Below are 19,967 nucleotides of genomic sequence, written 5' to 3'. Positions count from 1 at the left end.
TCCAAAATGCACAATTATTCACGGGAAAAGAGAGGCAAAAAAAAAAAAAAAAAACCTTAGAAAAGGTGGATAAAATATCAAAGTATCTGAGTGACAGACACTTTTAGTTGATTAAACCCTAGGGATACCAGAGAGCGAAACAAACGAGCTAACGAGCTAATGTGCAGGCACCGAGGTGCTTTTCAGCACTGACGAGCGACTGCCAGTATTCGGAGCTGTCAGTCATGAGGACCCAGGGGGTGTCACGGCCTTCCATTGCCCAGAAGGGATCACAAGGTTCCGGGAATGGTCCCGATTTAGCCTCTCTATGCTCCGGTACCTGCTTCCTCTGCCAGCCTAGGGAGGCGGGGGCCCTTCCGCGCCCCAGAGCCGCGACGGCTGCAGCTCCCAGGAGTCTCATGGCAAGCGCAGAGCACGCGTCAAAGTCCCGTGGCGCCGGGTGGGTTCAGCTGCCGGTAACGCACCGGGAAGCGGTCAAAGTCACGCCGGCAGCCAATGTTGTAAGAGCACTTCCGGGGCAAAGGACGCGAGGAAAAAGAGAGTGAGGAAAAGAAAGAAGAGCAACTGGATTGGAGGCGGAGCAGTGCCTACGCTGCTCGCGCGCCGTCTGCCGACTTGGAAGAGAAAGTGCAATCGCTTTGCGGAGCTAAAGAAGTGTTTGCTCCCAGTAAGACGGCATAGGTATATGGGTGAGGGAAGGGAGTCCTTTTGTCTTCGTCTTCTTTTTTAAATATTACCTCTGTATGAAGATACAGAATTTAAACATGGTTGTTAGGCCTATAAAGCAATGTGGAGAAATGTATATAACAATTTAAGTAGAAAAGAGCAAAATTGTCTATTACAAATATTAATAGGTATATATATGACATGGCCTGAAAAAGAACGTGGACAAATTATAGTGAATGAACTATCAATTACAATTACAAATACTTTTCCTCATGTCAAAATGTTATTTGTTATTGTTCGATGTCAGACATTTCATGTCCTGTCCATGTGGAAGACTGCATCCTTGACCATTCTGCTTGGATGTGTTAAGAGGCATGTTGAACCTAACAGGTCCAAAACTGAGCTTCGGATCTTCTTCCCCAAACCTTCCACAGTCTTATCCATCTCATAAATGTAAACTTTAGTGATTCTAGCCAAAAATATTAGTCGCTTTGACACCATGCTGTGACATCTCCGGTCTAATCAGTCAGCATATCCTGTAAGCTCTACTTTCAAAAAGACATCCAGGGCCGGACGCGGTGGCTCACACCTGTAGTCCCAGCACTTTGGAAGGCCGAGGCGGGCAGATCACGAGGTCATGAGATGGAGACCATCCTGGCTAACACAGTGAAACCCCGTCTCTACTAAAAATACAAAAAAAAATTAGCCGGGCGCGGTGGCGGGCGCCTGTAGTCCCAGCTACTCGGGAGGCTGAGGCAGGAGAATGGTGTGAACCCAGGAGGCGGAGCTTGCAGTGAGCCGAGATCACGCCACTGCACTCCACCCTGGGTGACAGAGCGAGTCTCAAAAAAAAAAAAAAAAAAAGAAAATCCAGAACTTACTTCTCCCCACCTCTCAGTACTGCCGTTTCTGGAGGGAACTATTGTAATAGCCTTGTAACCGATCTCACTGCTTCTATCCTTGCTGTTGTCAGTGGGCCGGTTCAGGTGCTTGACTTCACCACACAAAAGAATTTGAAAGCAAGTACAAAGTAAGAGTAGGCAAAAAAGTTTATTGTAAACCAAAAGTACACTCTGAGAGGCAGAGTGGGCTGCTCAGAAGAGAGACAGACAGCCTTTAGTATCTCTAGGGAATTCCCTTTATGGGTGAGGCAGGAGAACAGGGTCTAGAGACAGGGAACCGAAGGCCCTGCTGACTTCCTAGAGCTGAACCAAAAGGAAAACCCCACCTCTCCATGCCCAAGTAACAAAAGGATCGGAGGCTACTCCCAATGCACTGCATTGCAGATGAAAAAATGGAAAGTACCTCTGACTGGTCCCCTCTGGCAAATAATCAGACTGGTAGCAGGCCAAGTCCTCATGTGTAACTTTGTAACTTCACTTCAGCCTCTGATTGGTCACCTCCTGCAACCAAGCAGGCTGGTTATGGGCCACTCCTTCATTTACATAGGGTGTAACCAATGGGAACGCTCTAGAGGGTATTTAAATCCCAGAAAATTCTGTAACAGGTGCTCTTGAGCTGTGGAGTGTACTTTTGTTTCAACACATCTGTGCCTTCATTGCTCCATTCTTTCATTGCTTTGCTTATGTGTTTTGTCCAATTCTTTGTTCAAACGCCAAGAACCTGTATGACTCATAGTCAAGACCCTTCACTGGTAACATGGGAGCTGTACATATATATTCATAAAATACTGGTAAGGTCAAGTATGCAAAGGTGGACCTGTGGTTGGCACAGGTACTTGGCATCTACATGTTCTAACACAGGAGTCCCCAACCTCTGGGCCAGAGACCAGTATCAGTCCATGGCCTGTTAGGAACCAGGCCACACAGTAGGAGGTAAGCAGTGGGCGAGCGAGTGAAGTTTCATCTGTATTTACACCCTCTCCTTATCACTTGTATTACCACCTGAGCTCTGCCTCCTGTCAGATTAGCAGTGGCATTAGATTCTCATGGGAGTGTGAACCCCCTTGTGAACTATCCATTCAAGGGATCTGGGTTACGCACTCCTTATGAGAATCTAATGCCTGATGACCTGAGGTGGAGCTAAGGTGTGGCCGCTAGGGCTGGGGAACAGCTGCAAATACAGATTAACATTAGCAAAGAGGTTTGACTGCACAGAGACCATAATAAATCAATTGCTTGCAGATTCATATCAAAACCCTGTCAGTGAGTGTCAAGTGACAAAAGCTGCACTGGTGGCAAGCTTTATAGTGGCAAGTGAGTTGATGTATTTCAGTTGTACAGTTGCATCTGATGGCAGGCTTTAAAGTCTTGCGTGGCCCGCCCATTATTTTATTTACCACTTCCGTCCGCGCTTCCTTCCCACACTGAGCACTTGCCTCAGTCACAGTTTTGGTAAGCCCACAACCTAACTCTAGCCAAAACGAGTAAAAAACAAATGTCACTGGAGAGCTTCTTTGAAAATGGGGAAAGACCCAATGATGAGAAAATGGAAAACTCTAAGACTGCTAATAAAAGGAAAGCTGCATGTGAAAGAAAATACCTAGAGTCCTACTTAAATTGCAGGTTCACTGCAACAGGTGATTCACATTCTCCAAGCCTGCTTTATATAATATGTGGCAAGCGGCTATCCAACAAACCCATGAAACCTTCAAAACTGCTTCGCCACATGGAGACCAAGCACCCTACATAAAAAGAGAAGCCTTTGGAGTTTTTCAAAAGAAAAAATGTGGACACGAAGAACAGAAGCAATTATTGAAGGCCGCCACTTCCATCAAATGTGTCTGCATTGACAGTGTCATTCTTAGTGGCTAACAGCATTGCTAAGCTAAGAAGCTCTTTACTACTGGAGAATTGAACCTGCCTGCTGCTAAGGACATTTGTCATGAACTTTTAGGAGATGCTGCAGTTCAAAAGGTGGCACGTGTGCCTCTTTGGGCTAGCACCATAATTAGAGGAAATGATGAAATAGCAGAGGATATCGAGGCACAATTACTAGAAAGGATTAATGGGGCTGGGTGCAGTGGCTCATGCCTATAATCCCAGCACTTTGGGAGGCCGAGGCGGGCGCATCACAAGGTCAGGAGTTCAAGACCAGCCTGACCAACATGGTAAAACCCCATCTCTACTAAAAATACAAAAATCTGCCAGGCATGGTGGCATGCGCCTGTAATCCCAGCTACTCAGGAGGCTGAGGCAGGAGAATCACTTGAACCCGTGAGGCGGAGGTTGCAGTGAGCCAAGATCATGCCACTGCACTCCAGCTTGGGTGACAGATCGAGACTCAATCTCAAAAAAAAAAAAGAAAAGAAAGGATTAATGGGTCACTCTGGTACAAAATCCAGGTTGATTAATTTACTGAGGTTGACAACAAGTCAACAATGCTTGTTTTTGTGTGATTTTTCAGGTGGATGTGCATGAGGATATGTTATGTGCACTTTTGTTGCCAACCAACACCACAGCGGCAGAACTAGTCAAGTCTTTGAATGATTACATAGCAAAACTGAATTGGTTATTTTGTGTCAGTTTATGGACCGACAGAGCAGCTGCCATGACTGGACAGCTTTCTGGTTTCACTATTCGGGTCAAAGAGGTTGCTTCTGAATGTGAGTCTACACACTGAGTCGTCCATAGAGAAATGCTAGCTAGCCAGAAAGTATCAAATGAACTTAACGTTTTGCAGGATGTGATTAAAATTATCAACCACATTAAAGTACGTGCCCTTAACTCACATCTGTTCACACAGCTCCGTGAGGAGATGCACACAGAGCACACACACCTTCTTATACACAGAAATGAGATAGCTTTTTAAAGGTGGATCACTGGCCAGAGTTTCTGAGTTATGAGAGTCATTCCACAGATTTCTTTTTTTTTTTTTAATTATACTTTAAGTTTTAGGGTACATGTGCACATTGTGCAGGTTAGTTACATATGTATACATGTGCCATGCTGGTGCGCTGCACCCACTAACTCGTCATCTAGCATTAGGTATATCTCCCAATGCTACCCCTCCCCCCTCCCCCCACCCCACCACAGTCCCCAGAGTGTGATATTCCCCTTCCTGTGACCATGTGATCTCATTGTTCAATTCCCACCTATGAGTGAGAATATGCGGTGTTTGGTTTTTTGTTCTTGCGATAGTTTACTGAGAATGATGGTTTCCAATTTCATCCATGTCCCTACAAAGGACATGAACTCATCATTTTTTATGGTTGCATAGTATTCCATGGTGTATATGTGCCACATTTTCTTAATCCAGTCTATCATTGTTGGACATTTGGGTTGGTTCCAAGTCTTTGCTATTGTGAATAATGCCGCAATAAACATACGTGTGCATGTGTCTTTATAGCAGCATGATTTATAGTCATTTGGGTATATACCCAGTAATGGGATGGCTGGGTCAAATGGTATTTCTAGTTCTAGATACCTGAGGAATCGCCACACTGACTTCCACAATGGTTGAACTAGTTTACAGTCCCACCAACAGTGTAAAAGTGTTCCTATTTCTCCACATCCTTTCCAGCACCTGTTGTTTCCTGACTTTTTAATGACTGCCATTCTAACTGGTGTGAGATGGTATCTCATAGTGGTTTTGATTTGCATTTCTCTGATGGCCAGTGATGATGAGCATTTTTTCATGTATTTTTTGGCTGCATAAATGTCTTCTTTTGAGAAGTGTCTGTTCATGTCCTTCGCCCACTTTTTGATGGGGTTGTTTGTTTTTTTCTTGTAAATTTGTTTGAGTTCATTGTAGATTCTGGATATTAGCCCTTTGTCAGATGAGTAGGTTGCGAAAATTTTCTCCCATGTTGTAGGTTGCCTGTTCACTCTGATGGTAGTTTCTTTTGCTGTGCAGAAGCTCTTTAGTTTAATTAGGTCCCATTTGTCAATTTTGGCTTTTGTTGCCATTGCTTTTGGTGTTTTGGACATGAAGTCCTTGCCCACGCCTATGTCCTGAATGGTAATGCCTAGGTTTTCTTCTAGGGTTTTTATGGTTTTAGGTCTAACGTTTAAATCTTTAATCCATCTTGAATTGATTTTTGTATAAGGTGTAAGGAAGGGATCCAGTTTCAGCTTTCTACATATGGCTAGCCAGTTTTCCCAACACCATTTATTAAATAGGGAATCCTTTCCCCATTGCTTGTTTTTCTCAGGTTTGTCAAAGATCAGATAGTTGTAGGTATGCGGCGTTATTTCTGAGGGCTCTGTTCTGTTCCATTGATCTATATCTCTGTTTTGGTACCAGTACCATGCTGTTTTGGTTACTGTAGCCTTGTAGTATAGTTTGAAGTCAGGTAGTGTGATGCCTCCAGCTTTGTTCTTTTGGCTTAGGATTGACTTGGCGATGCGGGCTCTTTTTTGGTTCCATATGAACTTTAAAGTAGTTTTTTCCAATTCTGTGAAGAAAGTCATTGGTAGCTTGATGGGGATGGCACTGAATCTGTAAATTACCTTGGGCAGTATGGCCATTTTCATGATATTGATTCTTCCTACCCATGAGCATGGAATGTTCTTCCATTTGTTTGTATCCTCTTTTATTTCCTTGAGCAGTGGTTTGTAGTTCTCCTTGAAGAGGTCCTTCACATCCCTTGTAAGTTGGATTCCTAGGTATTTTATTCTCTTTGAAGCAATTGTGAATGGGAGTTCACTCATGATTTGGCTCTCTGTTTGTCTGTTGTTGGTGTATAAGAATGCTTGTGATTTTTGTACATTGATTTTGTATCCTGAGACTTTGCTGAAGTTGCTTATCAGCTTAAGGAGATTTTGGGCTGAGACAATGGGGTTTTCTAGATAAACAATCATGTCGTCTGCAAACAGGGACAATTTGACTTCCTCTTTTCCTAATTGAATACCCTTTATTTCCTTCTCCTGCCTGATTGCCCTGGCCAGAACGTCCAACACTATGTTGAATAGGAGCGGTGAGAGAGGGCATCCCTGTCTTGTGCCAGTTTTCAAAGGGAATGCTTCCAGTTTTTGCCCATTCAGTATGATATTGGCTGTGGGTTTGTCATAGATAGCTCTTATTATTTTGAAATACGTCCCATCAATACCTAATTTATTGAGAGTTTTTAGCATGAAGGGTTGTTGAATTTTGTCAAAGGCTTTTTCTGCATCTATTGAGATAATCATGTGGTTTTTGTCTTTGGCTCTGTTTATATGCTGGATTACATTTATTGATTTGCGTATATTGAACCAGCCTTGCATCCCAGGGATGAAGCCCACTTGATCATGGTGGATAAGCTTTTTGATGTGCTGCTGGATTTGGTTTGCCAGTATTTTATTGAGGATTTTTGCATCAATGTTCATCAAGGATATTGGTCTAAAATTCTCTTTTTTGGTTGTGTCTCTGCCCGGCTTTGGTATCAGAATGATGCTGGCCTCATAAAATGAGTTAGGGAGGATTCCCTCTTTTTCTATTGATTGGAATAGTTTCAGAAGGAATGGTACCAGTTCCTCCTTGTACCTCTGGTAGAATTCGGCTGTGAATCCATCTGGTCCTGGACTCTTTTTGGTTGGTAAACTATTGATTATTGCCGCAATTTCAGCTCCTGTTATTGGTCTATTCAGAGATTCAACTTCTTCCTGGTTTAGTCTTGGGAGAGTGTATGTGTCAAGGAATGTATCCATTTCTTCTAGATTTTCTAGTTTATTTGCGTAGAGGTGTTTGTAGTATTCTCTGATGGTAGTTTGTATTTCTGTGGGATCAGTGGTGATATCCCCTTTATCATTTTTTATTGTGTCTATTTGATTCTCCTCTCTTTTTTTCTTTATTAGTCTTGCTAGCGGTCTATCAATTTTGTTGATCCTTTCAAAAAACCAGCTCCTGGATTCATTGATTTTTTGAAGGGTTTTTTGTGTCTCTATTTCCTTCAGTTCTGCTCTGATTTTAGTTATTTCTTGCCTTCTGCTAGCTTTTGAATGTGTTTGCTCTTGCTTTTCTAGTTCTTTTAATTGTGATGTTAGGGTGTCAATTTTGGATCTTTCCTGCTTTCTCTTGTGGGCATTTAGTGCTAGAAATTTCCCTCTACACACTGCTTTGAATGCGTCCCAGAGATTCTGGTATGTTGTGTCTTTGTTCTCGTTGGTTTCAAAGAACATCTTTATTTCTGTCTTCATTTCGTTATGTACCCAGTAGTCATTCAGGAGCAGGTTGTTCAGTTTCCATGTAGTTGAGCGGCTTTGAGTGAGATTCTTAATCCTGAGTTCTAGTTTGATTGCACTGTGGTCTGAGAGATAGTTTGTTATAATTTCTGTTCTTTTACATTTGCTGAGGAGAGCTTTACTTCCAACTGTGTGGTCAATTTTGGAATAGGTGTGGTGTGGTGCTGAAAAAAACGTATATTCTGTTGATTTGGGGTGGAGAGTTCTGTAGATGTCTATTAGGTCTGCTTGGTGCAGAGCTGAGTTCAATTCCTGGGTATCCTTGTTGACTTTCTGTCTCGTTGATCTGTCTAATGTTGACAGTGGGGTGTTAAAGTCTCCCATTATTAATGTGTGGGAGTCTGAGTCTCTTTGTAGGTCACTCAGGACTTGCTTTATGAATCTGGGTGCTCCTGTATTGGGTGCATATATATTTAGGATAGTTAGCTCCTCTTGTTGAATTGATCCCTTTACCATTATGTAATGGCCTTCTTTGTCTCTTTTGATCTTTGTTGGTTTAAAGTCTGTTTTATCAGAGACTAGGATTGAAACCCCTGCCTTTTTTTGTTTTCCATTTGCTTGGTAGATCTTCCTCCATCCTTTTATTTTCAGCCTATGTGTGTCTCCTCATGTGAGATGGGTTTCCTGAATACAGCACACTGATGGGTCTTGACTCTTTATCCAACTTGCCAGTCTGTGTCTTTTAATTGGAGAATTTAGTCCATTTACATTTAAAGTTAATATTGTTATGTGTGAATTTGATCCTGTCATTATGATGTTAGCTGGTGATTTTGCTCGTTAGTTGATGCAGTTTCTTCCTAGTCTCGATGGTCTTTACATTTTGGCATGATTTTGCAGCGGCTGGTACCGGTTGTTCCTTTCCATCTTTAGCGCTTCCTTCAGGAGCTCTTTTAGGGCAGGCCTGGTGGTGACAAAATCTCTCAGCATTTGCTTGTCTGTAAAGTATTTTATTTCTCCTTCACTTATGAAGCTTAGTTTGGCTGGATATGAAATTCTGGGTTGAAAATTCTTTTCTTTAAGAATGTTGAATATTGGCCCCCACTCTCTTCTGGCTTGTAGGGTTTCTGCCGAGAGATCCGCTGTTAGTCTGATGGGCTTCCCTTTAAGGGTAACCCGACCTTTCTCTCTGGCTGCCCTTAACATTTTTTCCTTCATTTCAACTTTGGTGAATCTGACAATTATGTGTCTTGGAGTTGCTCTTCTCGAGGAGTATCTTTGTGGCGTTCTCTGTATTTCCTGAATCTGAACGTTGGCCTGCCTTGCTAGATTGGGGAAGTTCTCCTGGATAATATCCTGCAGAGTGTTTTCCAGCTTGGTTCCATTCTCCGCATCACTTTCAGGTACACCAATCAGACGTAGATTTGGTCTTTTCACATAGTCCCATATTTCTTGTAGGCTTTGCTCATTTCTTTTTATTCTTTTTTCTCTAAACTTCCCTTCTCGCTTCATTTCATTCATTTCATCTTCCATTGCTGATACCCTTTCTTCCAGTTGATCGCATCGGCTCCTGAGGCTTCTGCATTCTTCACGTAGTTCTCGAGCCTTGGTTTTCAGCTCCATCAGCTCCTTTAAGCACTTCTCTGTATTGGTTATTCTAGTTATATATTCTTCTAAATTTTTTTCAAAGTTTTCAACTTCTTTGCCTTTGGTTTGAATGTCCTCCCGTAGCTCAGAGTAATTTGATCGTCTGAAACCTTCTTCTCTCAGCTCGTCAAAGTCATTCTCCATCCAGCTTTGTTCCGTTGCTGGTGAGGAACTGCGTTCCTTTGGAGGAGGAGAGGCGCTGTGCGTTTTAGAGTTTCCAGTTTTTCTGTTCTGTTTTTTCCCCATCTTTGTGGTTTTATCTACTTTTGGTCTTTGATGATGGTGATGTACAGATGGGTTTTCGGTGTGGATGTCCTTTCTGTTTGTTAGTTTTCCTTCTAACAGACAGGACCCTCAGCTGCAGGTCTGTTGGAATACCCTGACGTGTGAGGTGTCAGTGTGCCCCTGCTGGGGGGTGCCTCCCAGTTAGGCTGCTCGGGGGTCAGGGGTCAGGGACCCACTTGAGGAGGTAGTCTGCCCGTTCTCAGATCTCCAGCTGTGTGCTGGGAGAACCACTGCTCTCTTCAAAGCTGTCAGACAGGGACATTTAAGTCTGCAGAGGTTACTGCTGTCTTTTTGTTTGTCTGTGCCCTGCCCCCAGAGGTGGAGCCTACAGAGGCAGGCAGGCCTCCTTGAGCTGTGGTGGGCTCCACCCAGTTCGAGCTTCCCCGCTGCTTTGTTTACCTAAGCAAGCCTGGGCAATGGCGGGCTCCCCTCCCCCAGCCTCGCTGCTGCCTTGCAGTTTGATCTCAGACTGCTGTGCTAGCAATCAGCGAGATTCCGTGGGCGTAGGACCCTCCGAGCCAGGTGTGGGATATAGTCTCGTGGTGCGCCGTTTTTTAAGCCGGTCTGAAAAGCGCAGTATTCGGGTGGGAGTGACCCGATTTTCTAGGTGCGTCCGTCACCCCTTTCTTTGACTCGGAAAGGGAACTCCCTGACCCCTTGCACTTCCCAGGTGAGGCAATGCCTCGCCCTGCTTCGGCTCGCACACGGTGCGCACACCCACTGGCCCGCGCCCACTGTCTGGCACTCCCTAGTGAGATGAACCCGGTACCTCAGATGGAAATGCAGAAATCACCCGTCTTCTGCGTCGCTCACGCTGGGAGCTGTAGACCGGAGCTGTTCCTATTCGGCCATCTTCCATTCCACAGATTTCTTTTAGAAAAACAGTCACCAGTGGCAGCACATTTCAGTGACACAGAATGGGTCACAAAATTTGCTCAGTCGTATGACATATTTAACCTGCTCAATGAACTCAGTCTGTCACTTCAAGGGAGAATGACAACTGTGTTCAAGTTGGCAGATAAAGTGGCTGCATTCAAAATCAAACTGGAATTATGGGGGTGATGAGTTAACACTGGGATTTTTAACATGTTTCGAATATTAGCAGAGATTTTGAAAGAGACTAAGCCAGGGCCTTCTCTCTCCCAGCTAGTGCATGATCACCTATCTTAGCTTTCAAAAGAGTTTGAGCATTACTTCCCAACCACAAAAGACCCCTGAACTGGAAAGGAATGTATCTGTGACCCATTTGTGTTGTGGTCCCCCCAAACGGAGGGACCGGCTGGAGCCGAGGCAGAAGAACATAAATTGTGAAGATTTCATGGACATGTATCAGTTCCCAAAATTAATACTTTTATAATTTCTTAACGCCTGTCTTACTTTAATCTCTTAATCCTGTCATCTTCGTAAGCTGAGGATGTATGTCACCTCAGGACCCTGTGATGATTGCGTTAACTGTACAAATTAATTGTAAAACGTGTGTTTGAACAATATGAAATCAGTGCACCCTGAAAAGAACTGAATAACAGCGATTTTCAGGGAACAAGGAAAGATAACAATAAGGTCTGACTGCTTGTGGGGTCGGGCAGAATAGAACCATATTTTTCTTCTTGCAGATAGCCTATAGACGGATGTGTGAGTAGGAGAAATATCGATGAATTCTTTTCCCAGCAAGGAACATTAATAACTGAAACCCTGGGAAAGGAATGCATTCCTGGGGGTAGGCCTATAGACGGCTGCTCTGGGAGTATCTGTCTTATGCGGTTGAGATAAGGACTGAAATACACCCTCAGGCTTACTAGGATTGGGAAATTCCAGCCTGGTAAATTCTAGTCAGACCGGTTGTCTGCTCTTGAACCCTGTTTTCTGTTAAGATGTTCATCAAGACAATGCCTGCACAGTGGGACGTAGAACCTCATCAGTAATTCTAATTTTGCCTTGCCTTGTGATCTTTATGGCCCTTTGAAGCATGTGATCCTTGTGACCTAATCCCTGTTCATACACTCCCTTCCCTTTTAAAATCCCTAATAAAAACTTGCTGGTTTTGCGGCTCGAGGTCGCCATCACGATCCTACCAATATGTGATGACACCCCCGGAGGCCCAGCTGTAAAATTTCTCTCTTTATTTTCTTTCTTTTTTATTTCTCAGACCAGCTGACACTTAGGGAAAATAGAAAGAACCTACATTGAAATACTGGGGGCTGGTTCCCCCGATACATTTGTGAACAAATTATTTGTGAATCAACTTTGTCCATGCTGGAAGAGGATCAAAGGTTTGAGATCACAAATAACGGTGGCCTTAAAAGTATGTTTGAGACAACTTCAAATCTCCATACATTCTGGATTAAAGTCAAGGCAGAATATCCTGAGATTGCCTAAAAAGCACTGAAAAGCCTGCTTTCATTTCTAACATCCTATCTTTGTGAAGTAGCATTTTCTGTGGTGACAGCAACCAAAATGAGATTATGGAGTAGACTGGACATAAGCAACACACTTTGAGTGTCACTGTCTCCTATCACCCCTAGATGGGATGTCTAGTTGCAGGAAGACAAACTCAGGGCTCCCACTGATTCTACATTATGGTGAGTTGTATAATTATTTCATTATATATTACAATGTAATATATAATGAAAATGATAAAATTGTAGAAATAAAGCACACAACAAATGTGCTTGAATCATCTTGAAACCATCCCCCCACCCTCTAACCCTGGAAAAATTGTCTTCCAAGAAACCAGTCCTTCGTGCCAAAAAGGTTGGTGACCACTGCTCTAACAGGCATTGCATGTATCATTAGCATATAAAATCTCTTCCTAGCAGTGTGATTTTTACTATTAAAATAAGGAAAAAACTATTATAAGCTAAAACTTGAGCCTAGCTACACATGCAGGAACCTGAAAAAGTTTCTAGCCACCCAGTCCCCCTCCCCCTGCCCCTCACTCAAGGCAGGAATTTGTAGCTAATAGCTTCTTGGGTTTTGATGCTAATTGGCTGGAAATTGGGGAAGCTACAATATGAATAAAGGCTTTTGTTGTCTTTCCCAGCTGTATTGGATGTCAGGAACTTGTAACCATTGGGCAGTGGGCTGGTATCCTGTACAACTGCTTAGCATGGCCTCCTAACCTTATTTATCCTGCCTCAAATTCACAACACAGTAACTAAAGGGATCCTTTTAAGTCAGACCAGGTCCTTTGTCTGCTAAAGACACTCCATCCAGTGAATTTATTGTTGCTCTTATTGCAAGGAATTCCTACTTCCCTGCCCCTTTTGCTCCAGCCACATTGGCCTCTGTGATGATTAGTATTGAGTGTCAACTTGATTGGATTGAAGGATGCAAAGTATTGTTCCTGGGTGTGTCTGTGAGGGTGCTGCCAAAGGAGATTAACATTTGAATCAGTGGACTTGGAGAGGCAGACGCACCGTCAATCTGGGTGGGCACAATCTAATCAGCTGCCACCGTGGCTAGAATAAAAGCAAGCCGAAGAACGTGGGAGGACTAGACTGGCTAAGTCTTCTGGCCTCCATCTTTCTCCCATCCTGGATTCTTCCTGCCTTCAAACATAGGACACCAAGTTCTTCAGCTTTTGGACTCTTGAACCTGTTGAGGACTAAACTCTGATTTTTTTTATCTTGCCCAAATTCCTGTCTAAGGGGTCTGGGGTGTAATGCCCTATGCCCTACAAACCATAAATTCTCATCAGATGGGTTTTATTTAACTCTGTATATCATGACTTATTTTCTAACCTGACCCTGGCATAACATTACGAGACAAGGAAGAAAATAAAAATATTTTACCCAACAACATGTTTATTTGCCATATTTTGAAATAGCCCTGCAAAGCTGTTCTTTGTGGGGAAAAATTTGCATCTGTAAAGAATCTGTATTAAATAGCTAGATCTTTTTCTTCCAGACCCTCCCAATCCTTCAGAGACTAACTAAGATCTGAATAAGAAACATTTGTCATCTATTTTCTCTAAGGGCAGCCACTATAAGACTTCAAAAGAACTTTGGTCTCCACAATCTTTATCTTAACCTGAACATTCCCTTTCTATCAATCCAAGGTCTTCAGACAAACTCAACCAATTGTCAACCAGAAAATGTTTAAATTCACCTACAGCCTGGAAGCGCCCCCCATCCAACCCGCTTTGAGTTGTCCCACCTTTCTGGACCACACCAATGTATTTCCTAAATGTATTTGATTGATGTCTCATGTCTCTCTAAAATGTATAAAACCAAGCTGTGCCCTGACCACCTTGGGAACATGTTCTCAGGACCTCCTGAGGGCTGTGTCATGGGCCATGGTCACTCATATTTGGCTGAGAATAAATCTCTCCAAATATTTTACAGAGTTTGAGTCTTTTCTTCGACACTATCAATCGAGGAAAATGACTAGTCTCAGTCATTTTAGGAGACTTATTTGCCAAAGTTAACAACGCACCCGAGAGACAGATATATGCCTTTCTTCAAAGATGATTTTGAGGGTTTCAAATTTAAAGGGGAAAGGCCAGGATATTGAGAAACACTCAGTTTTTACATAAACAAAAGGGGGAGAGGAAAAATGTGGGGAATCTGCATTTTACCTAAGATAACACAGCCAAAATGGGGTAGGGGGACAATCACATACACATTTGTGTCTGGCGGGCCAGGTTGACTGCACCTGTAAAGATAAGCTATCAACTTGCATTGCATGGAGAAATTTTAACAGCTCACTAGGAATTTCCTTGTGGGAAAAATATGGGGGAGGCACGTAGCTTTTCATCTAGTAGCCATCTTATTTAGGAACCAAAAGGGGAGGCAGGTTTGCATGACCCAGTTCCCAGCTTGACTTTTCTCTTTGGCTAAATGAGTTTGGGGTCGCAAAATTTAATTTCCTTTCACAAACCTACACCAATGGTTTGCCAGGGCTCTTGGGCCTTTGACCACAGACTGAAGGCTGCACTGTTGGCTTCCCTACTTTTGAGGTTTTGGGACTCGGACTGGCTTCCTTGCTCCTCAGCATGCAGATGGCCTATTGTGGGACTTTACCTTGTGATTTTGTGAGTCAATACTCCTTAATAAACTCCTTTTCATATTTACATCTATCCTATTAGTCCTGTCCCTCTAGAGAACCCTGGCTAATACACCCTCCTTGCTGATCCTCATGTGTCTAGAGCCTTTGCTCTTCCCCAGATATCAGCATGGTTTTTTCCCTCACTTTTTTTTTTTTTTTTTTTGGAGGTGGAGTCTACGCTGTCACCCAGGCTGGAGTGCAATGGCATGATCTCAGCTCACTGCAACCTCTGCCTCCTGGGTTCAAGTAATTCTTCTGCCTCAGCCTCCTGAGTAGCTGGGATTACAGGTGCCTGCCACCACTCCCAGCTAATTTTTGTATTTTTAGTATAGACAGGGTTTCACCATGTTGGCCAGGCTGGTCTTGAACTCCTGACCTCATGATGCACCTGCCTTGGCCTTCCAAAGTGCTGGGATTACAGGAGTGAGCCACCACACCTGGCCTCCCTCCCTCCCTTTCTATCTTCTCACTGTGATTCATTTTTCTTCAGAGCACTTCTTAAATTCAGACATTTTGCATACATATCTTTGTATTGTCTGACTCTCCATGTGAGAATATAAGTTTCATAAGGACAACAGTTTTGTTTGCTCATTACTGTGTCTCCGTACATGTTTGAGGTGTTTAATAAATATTTGTTAAATGAATGAATGAATGAGATCAAGTAAATTGAAAAAAGTACAAGGGACAAGAAAAGGAAAATGAGAGGCTCAATGATGAATTTCAAAGTTACTTTTTGTATATCATCCCATGTAGTAATATGCAATAAAGGATTTCTAAGTCACTTTAATGAATGAATCCATTAACATTAAAAATACGGTATTAGTTTGTTTTCATGCTGCTAATAAAGACATACTCGAGACTGGGTAGTTTAGAAAGGAAAGAATTTTAATTGACTCACAGTTCCACATGGCTGGGGAAGCCTCACAATCATGGTGGAAGATGAAGGAAGAGCAAAGGGACGTCTTACATGGCAGCTAGCAAAAAGATAGTTTGTGCAGGGGAACTCCTCTTTATAAAATCATCAGATCTGGTGAGACTTATTGACTATCATGAGAACACCATGGGAAAGACCCACCCCCATGATTCAATTACCTCCCACTAGGTCCTTCCCACAACACATGGGAATTAAGGGAGCTACAATTCAAGAAGAGATTTGGGTGGGGACACAGCCAAACCATATCAAATACTTTAAATAAACTTTTTTATTTAGACTTCTAAAAATTTAGTCTTTATATACCTTTATAAGTATTATTTTAAAATACATGATTATGTAAATACACAATAAAGGTTTTTAATTTTTAATTTTATATTTTATTTAGTATGCAGATAACTAATCTTATATTAAATAAGATTGTATATCTACTATATTGAAATTACCACTTTAATGAACTGTTTCCTTAGTAAAGATTTATATTCATTATTATGTGTATATATATTCATTTTTTCCATGATTATTGTACCAAGTATATTTTTATTGTTATTAATCACCACTTTTAATCAAAGTAGTCCACTTTTGCTTTCTGCAAAGAGAAAAATAGAACACAGAAATCTATGAAATGTCTAGCTAAATTTTTATGAGTACACATTTTTGTGAAAGGAAAACAAATCTTGAGGACCCAAAATCACTTAGCTAATGGGAAGAGTCAAGTTAGGAACTACTTAGGGCAAAGCCTACCTCCCCTTCTACTCAAAGTCATCCCTCTGCTCACTGAGATAAGTGCATATCTGATTGCCTCATTTGGAGAGGCTAATCGAAAACTCAAAAGAATACAACCATTTGTCTCTTATCAACCTATGACCTAGAAGCCCCCTCCCTGCTTTGAGCTGTCCTGCTTTTGCTTTGAGTTGTCCCACCTTTCCAGACAGAACCAATGTTCATCTTGCGTATGTTGACTGATGTCTTATGTCTCCGAGCGTATAAAACCAAGCCGTGCTCTGAGCACCTTGGGCACATGTTGTTAGGACCTCCTGAGGCTGTGTCACAGGCATATGTCCTCAACCTTGGCAAAACAAACCTTGTAAATTAACTGAGACCTGTCTCAGATATTCGGGGTTCACATTTTGGTATCCATGAAGGGAATCTGAGCAGAGGTACCCTGATCTGTAAGATACAATAAATCTTTCTGAGTTCTCTTCAAAGTGTTTAGCCTGTTAACTTCCTTACTCAGGCAAGACGTGTCCCACTGCCCCACTGCGGTGGCCTCAGGGAGGTGAGATTGAGACCCACCCTTGGTGACGAATAAACCCACACTCTCAGCAACGTGGGGAGGAGAGGCTTGCAATACCGTGGCGACCAGGTAAACTCTGTGCACAGACCAAGGTACGAAACGTCACAGGGGCGACAAAGTACTTCTTTGGTGGTCAGAGGGGGTGGTCGGGGCATTCTGGAGGTTGAAAGTGCATGAATGGTAACAAGCACTACTGCTGTGAGGAATGAGTGAGTCCAATCTACGATTCCGTGGTCACCACATATGGCTTAGGGCGGCCCTTTGGGGGTCCCATCAGGGATTTATACTGACCCGCCATCAATGGTAAGAGGGACCTGAAACATTCCCGAGAGGGAAGTGGCCAGAGCAGACGAAGCAAAAGAAGGGTTCAAGGGACCTCCAGCAGATGGAGATAAGCGAATTAAGCCTTAGCAAAGCTTCCACTGAAGGATAGGCAAGAGATCGCTAATATGAGGGGTTGAGCCACAAGGAACTCCCCAAATTGGCAAGAGATTCCTAATAAGAGGGATTGAGCCTAGCCAGGACCCAGTATGGGAAATATTACAAGCAAAAAAGATGAAGTTAGCAACAAAGATATCCCCTTGATAGTCCCTTAGGTCTCAAAGATATACCACCTGATAACCCTCTAGGTCTCATGCTAAAAGGCTGGGAAGATAATGAAAGAACTAAACATAAATAAAAGCAACAAATGATAAAATATTGCTGTTCTATTTGGACTCAAAGACCTAACCTCAATCCCTCAATCTTCTGGCCAAAGTTTGGGTCGACTGAGGATATACTATGTCAACTTTTAATTCAACATGTAAATAATAAAAGCCCAGTTTCTCAAGAAAAACTGGTCTATGCTCTTTGTTGGAAGCAAAGACCTGTCCTCCCTTTTCCCTTATGCCCCTGCCCCTACTGTAGAACCAGTGAGGGAAGGGGCTCAGGGAATCCTGGCAAACGAGAACAGCACACGGGATCCCCTAGGCCATCCTCCACCTAATACCCCTGGTCCCCCACCTAATACACCCAACCCTTCCCTCAGGCCCAGCCTAAGTCCCCCTCCCCAAAAGAACTCCAAGCTCGTAATTCGCCGGTGGCTTTTGCCGGGCTAGCAACATCAAGGATCAGCTGCAACATGTTGTCGGCATCATCCAGCCCATAGTACGCCCCAGCGGCAGGCAAAGCCCATGCTCCTGCCCCCTGGCTGGTCCAAGGTCCCGGCACCACATTGACGGCAGCTCTGCAAGACACACAGTCCAGGTCCCAGCCTATGCCCTGAGCAGACTACATTATGGGACATCTGCCTTACTTTTGCCAGGGCCAAGTAATACCAGGCCTCAGCCATGGCTCCAAGCAGCTAGGCATCTCTGCAGCTAAGTCTCCTGAGTAGATAATCTTTCAGCTGATATATCCACTAGCATTTATTGTGGTCAAGTCAGTGTTAAAAGTGAAAATATCCACCAGAAAAGAACTTTGATCCTTTAAAGTTTTCTATTATATATTAAGTTTTATATTTTATATATTATATATATTAAGTTTTATATTAAGTTGTATATTATGTATTTATATTATATATTGTTTTATTTTATATATATTATATATTAATATTTATGTTTTATATTAAAATGTGCCACCAGAAAAGAATTATATGTGTATAAGTATGAGGCTATTCTGTTAAAAAGGATGGTTTAACATTAACTACTGATAATTCGCTTAACCTAGCAAGTTTCTTAACGAGAGAGCCAAATCTAAAAGCACACATGTTTAGATTTAACTGATTACCATACAAACATCCAGTAGAACTTAAAAGAAACCCCCCTCAAAAGTGATTAAGGGAAAAAGAACACAACAAGTGTTCAGTTATTAATAAAAGTTCCTAGAGAGATAAAATCAAAGTGTTTTAATAAGTAGTCTATCCAAATTTATAAGCTGTCTGCACTTAGTCAAGCTTTAAAGTATCTGCAAGATCAGGAGAGAACCATCTATACTAATTCTAAATACGCCTTTACAGTGGCTCATAAATTTAGAAAAATTCAGACTGAATGAATAGTAAAAGTCAAAGCCTTGTTCATGAGGAGTTAATCACCCAAGTGTTGAATAGCCTTCAGTTACCAGAAAAGAAAAAATAGCTATTGTCCATGTCCCCAGGCACCAAAAAGCCTGTCTTTCAAGAGTCAAGAAAATAACCTAGCAAATCAGATAAGCTGGACCAGCTGCCATTTCTCCTGTAGGTGCTAAAGGGAACTCAGAGAAATGTTATTCAAACCTTTTATAAAGGCAGTCCTATCCCACCTACATCAGAGGATCCATTAAAGACCCCAAGCCATGTATAGCACGGTCAAAGTTTATACCTGTATAGGAATTTACACCCTTAGCCAAACAAGTCTAGAGACTTTGTTGCCAAAAATCAAATGTCTTCTGACTTCCTATTACCCTAGTAAGAATCCAAACTGCCTCTCAAAGCAATCCAACATTCCTGAATACTTGCTTTATCTTCCACTTTCTCTTCCTTCAGAACTCACAATTTTCCAGTACAGGCATCACCCCTAGAGTTTCCAGTACATTGACACCAGCCTGAGGAGCCGGCCTAGTGCTTCTAACCACTGAAACCATAGTCCAAATAGCAAGAAAAGATGGACCCATCATACCCAAGTCGAGAAAGCACCACCATCCCTGAAGTCATGGGTCATTATCCAAGAGAAAAACCTCCTCAAACTAAGGTTAAGAAAACTTTAACTCTCTTTTATCTAGTCTACTACCCTTTCTTCTTTCCTCATTATATTGCTGACCTTGTTATCAATGTAACTAGGCCAGACTCACCCTAAATCATTACTTTTGATGCTTGCCTTGGCATGCCTTGTCAAAAGGATGAATACTGGCAAAGATATGTCTCTACTTAAGAAAAATACCTCTGCTCCTTCAGAGAAGCCATTGACCCTCCACCTTGCTCATGGCAGGGGTACCAAGGCACTCTAAGTTAGGAGATATGTTCTCAATGTGCAGATGTCATCCTAACTACCAGAGCACACGGCAGGACCTTCCCATAAGGCTG

General features: G+C 42.6%; 1 protein-coding gene and 1 pseudogene across 14 annotated transcripts in view, besides 2 other annotated features; one reads left to right on the top strand and one right to left on the bottom strand.

Moving 5' to 3' along the window:
* The window catches only part of GFM1 (G elongation factor mitochondrial 1), a 51,055-nt gene extending 50,547 nt beyond the window's left edge, over nt 1-508 (bottom strand). For 13 of the 14 annotated variants that reach the window (NR_164500.1, NR_164499.1, NR_164502.1 and 10 more), the window contains exon 1: nt 320-508. Coding sequence is in view for 6 of the 14 variants with exons in the window: in NM_001308164.2 (NP_001295093.1) it covers nt 320-400 (81 nt within the window). In the remaining 8 variants the exon portion in view is untranslated. Of the gene's footprint in view, nt 1-153 lie in introns of all 14 variants that reach the window. The other variant, NM_001374357.1, reaches the window with a different exon arrangement.
* Nucleotides 17,592-18,091: an enhancer, noted in NCBI's record as "H3K4me1 hESC enhancer chr3:158344733-158345232 (GRCh37/hg19 assembly coordinates)". NCBI's record gives its function as "activates a minimal SCP1, AML or CMV promoter by ChIP-STARR-seq in naive H9 embryonic stem cells {active_cell/tissue: H9 hESC(naive)}" and the evidence as "EXISTENCE:reporter gene assay evidence [ECO:0000049][PMID:30033119]".
* Nucleotides 18,092-18,593: an enhancer, noted in NCBI's record as "H3K4me1 hESC enhancer chr3:158344231-158344732 (GRCh37/hg19 assembly coordinates)". NCBI's record gives its function as "activates a minimal SCP1, AML or CMV promoter by ChIP-STARR-seq in naive H9 embryonic stem cells {active_cell/tissue: H9 hESC(naive)}" and the evidence as "EXISTENCE:reporter gene assay evidence [ECO:0000049][PMID:30033119]".
* RFKP6 (RFK pseudogene 6) lies at nt 18,186-18,379 on the top strand (annotated as a pseudogene).

The sequence above is a fragment of the Homo sapiens genome, chromosome 3 (genome assembly GCF_000001405.40).
Source record: "Homo sapiens chromosome 3, GRCh38.p14 Primary Assembly".
Lineage (NCBI taxonomy): Eukaryota > Metazoa > Chordata > Mammalia > Primates > Hominidae > Homo > Homo sapiens.
Note: the sequence above shows the minus strand (reverse complement) of the source record. Positions and strands in the feature narration are given on the sequence as shown.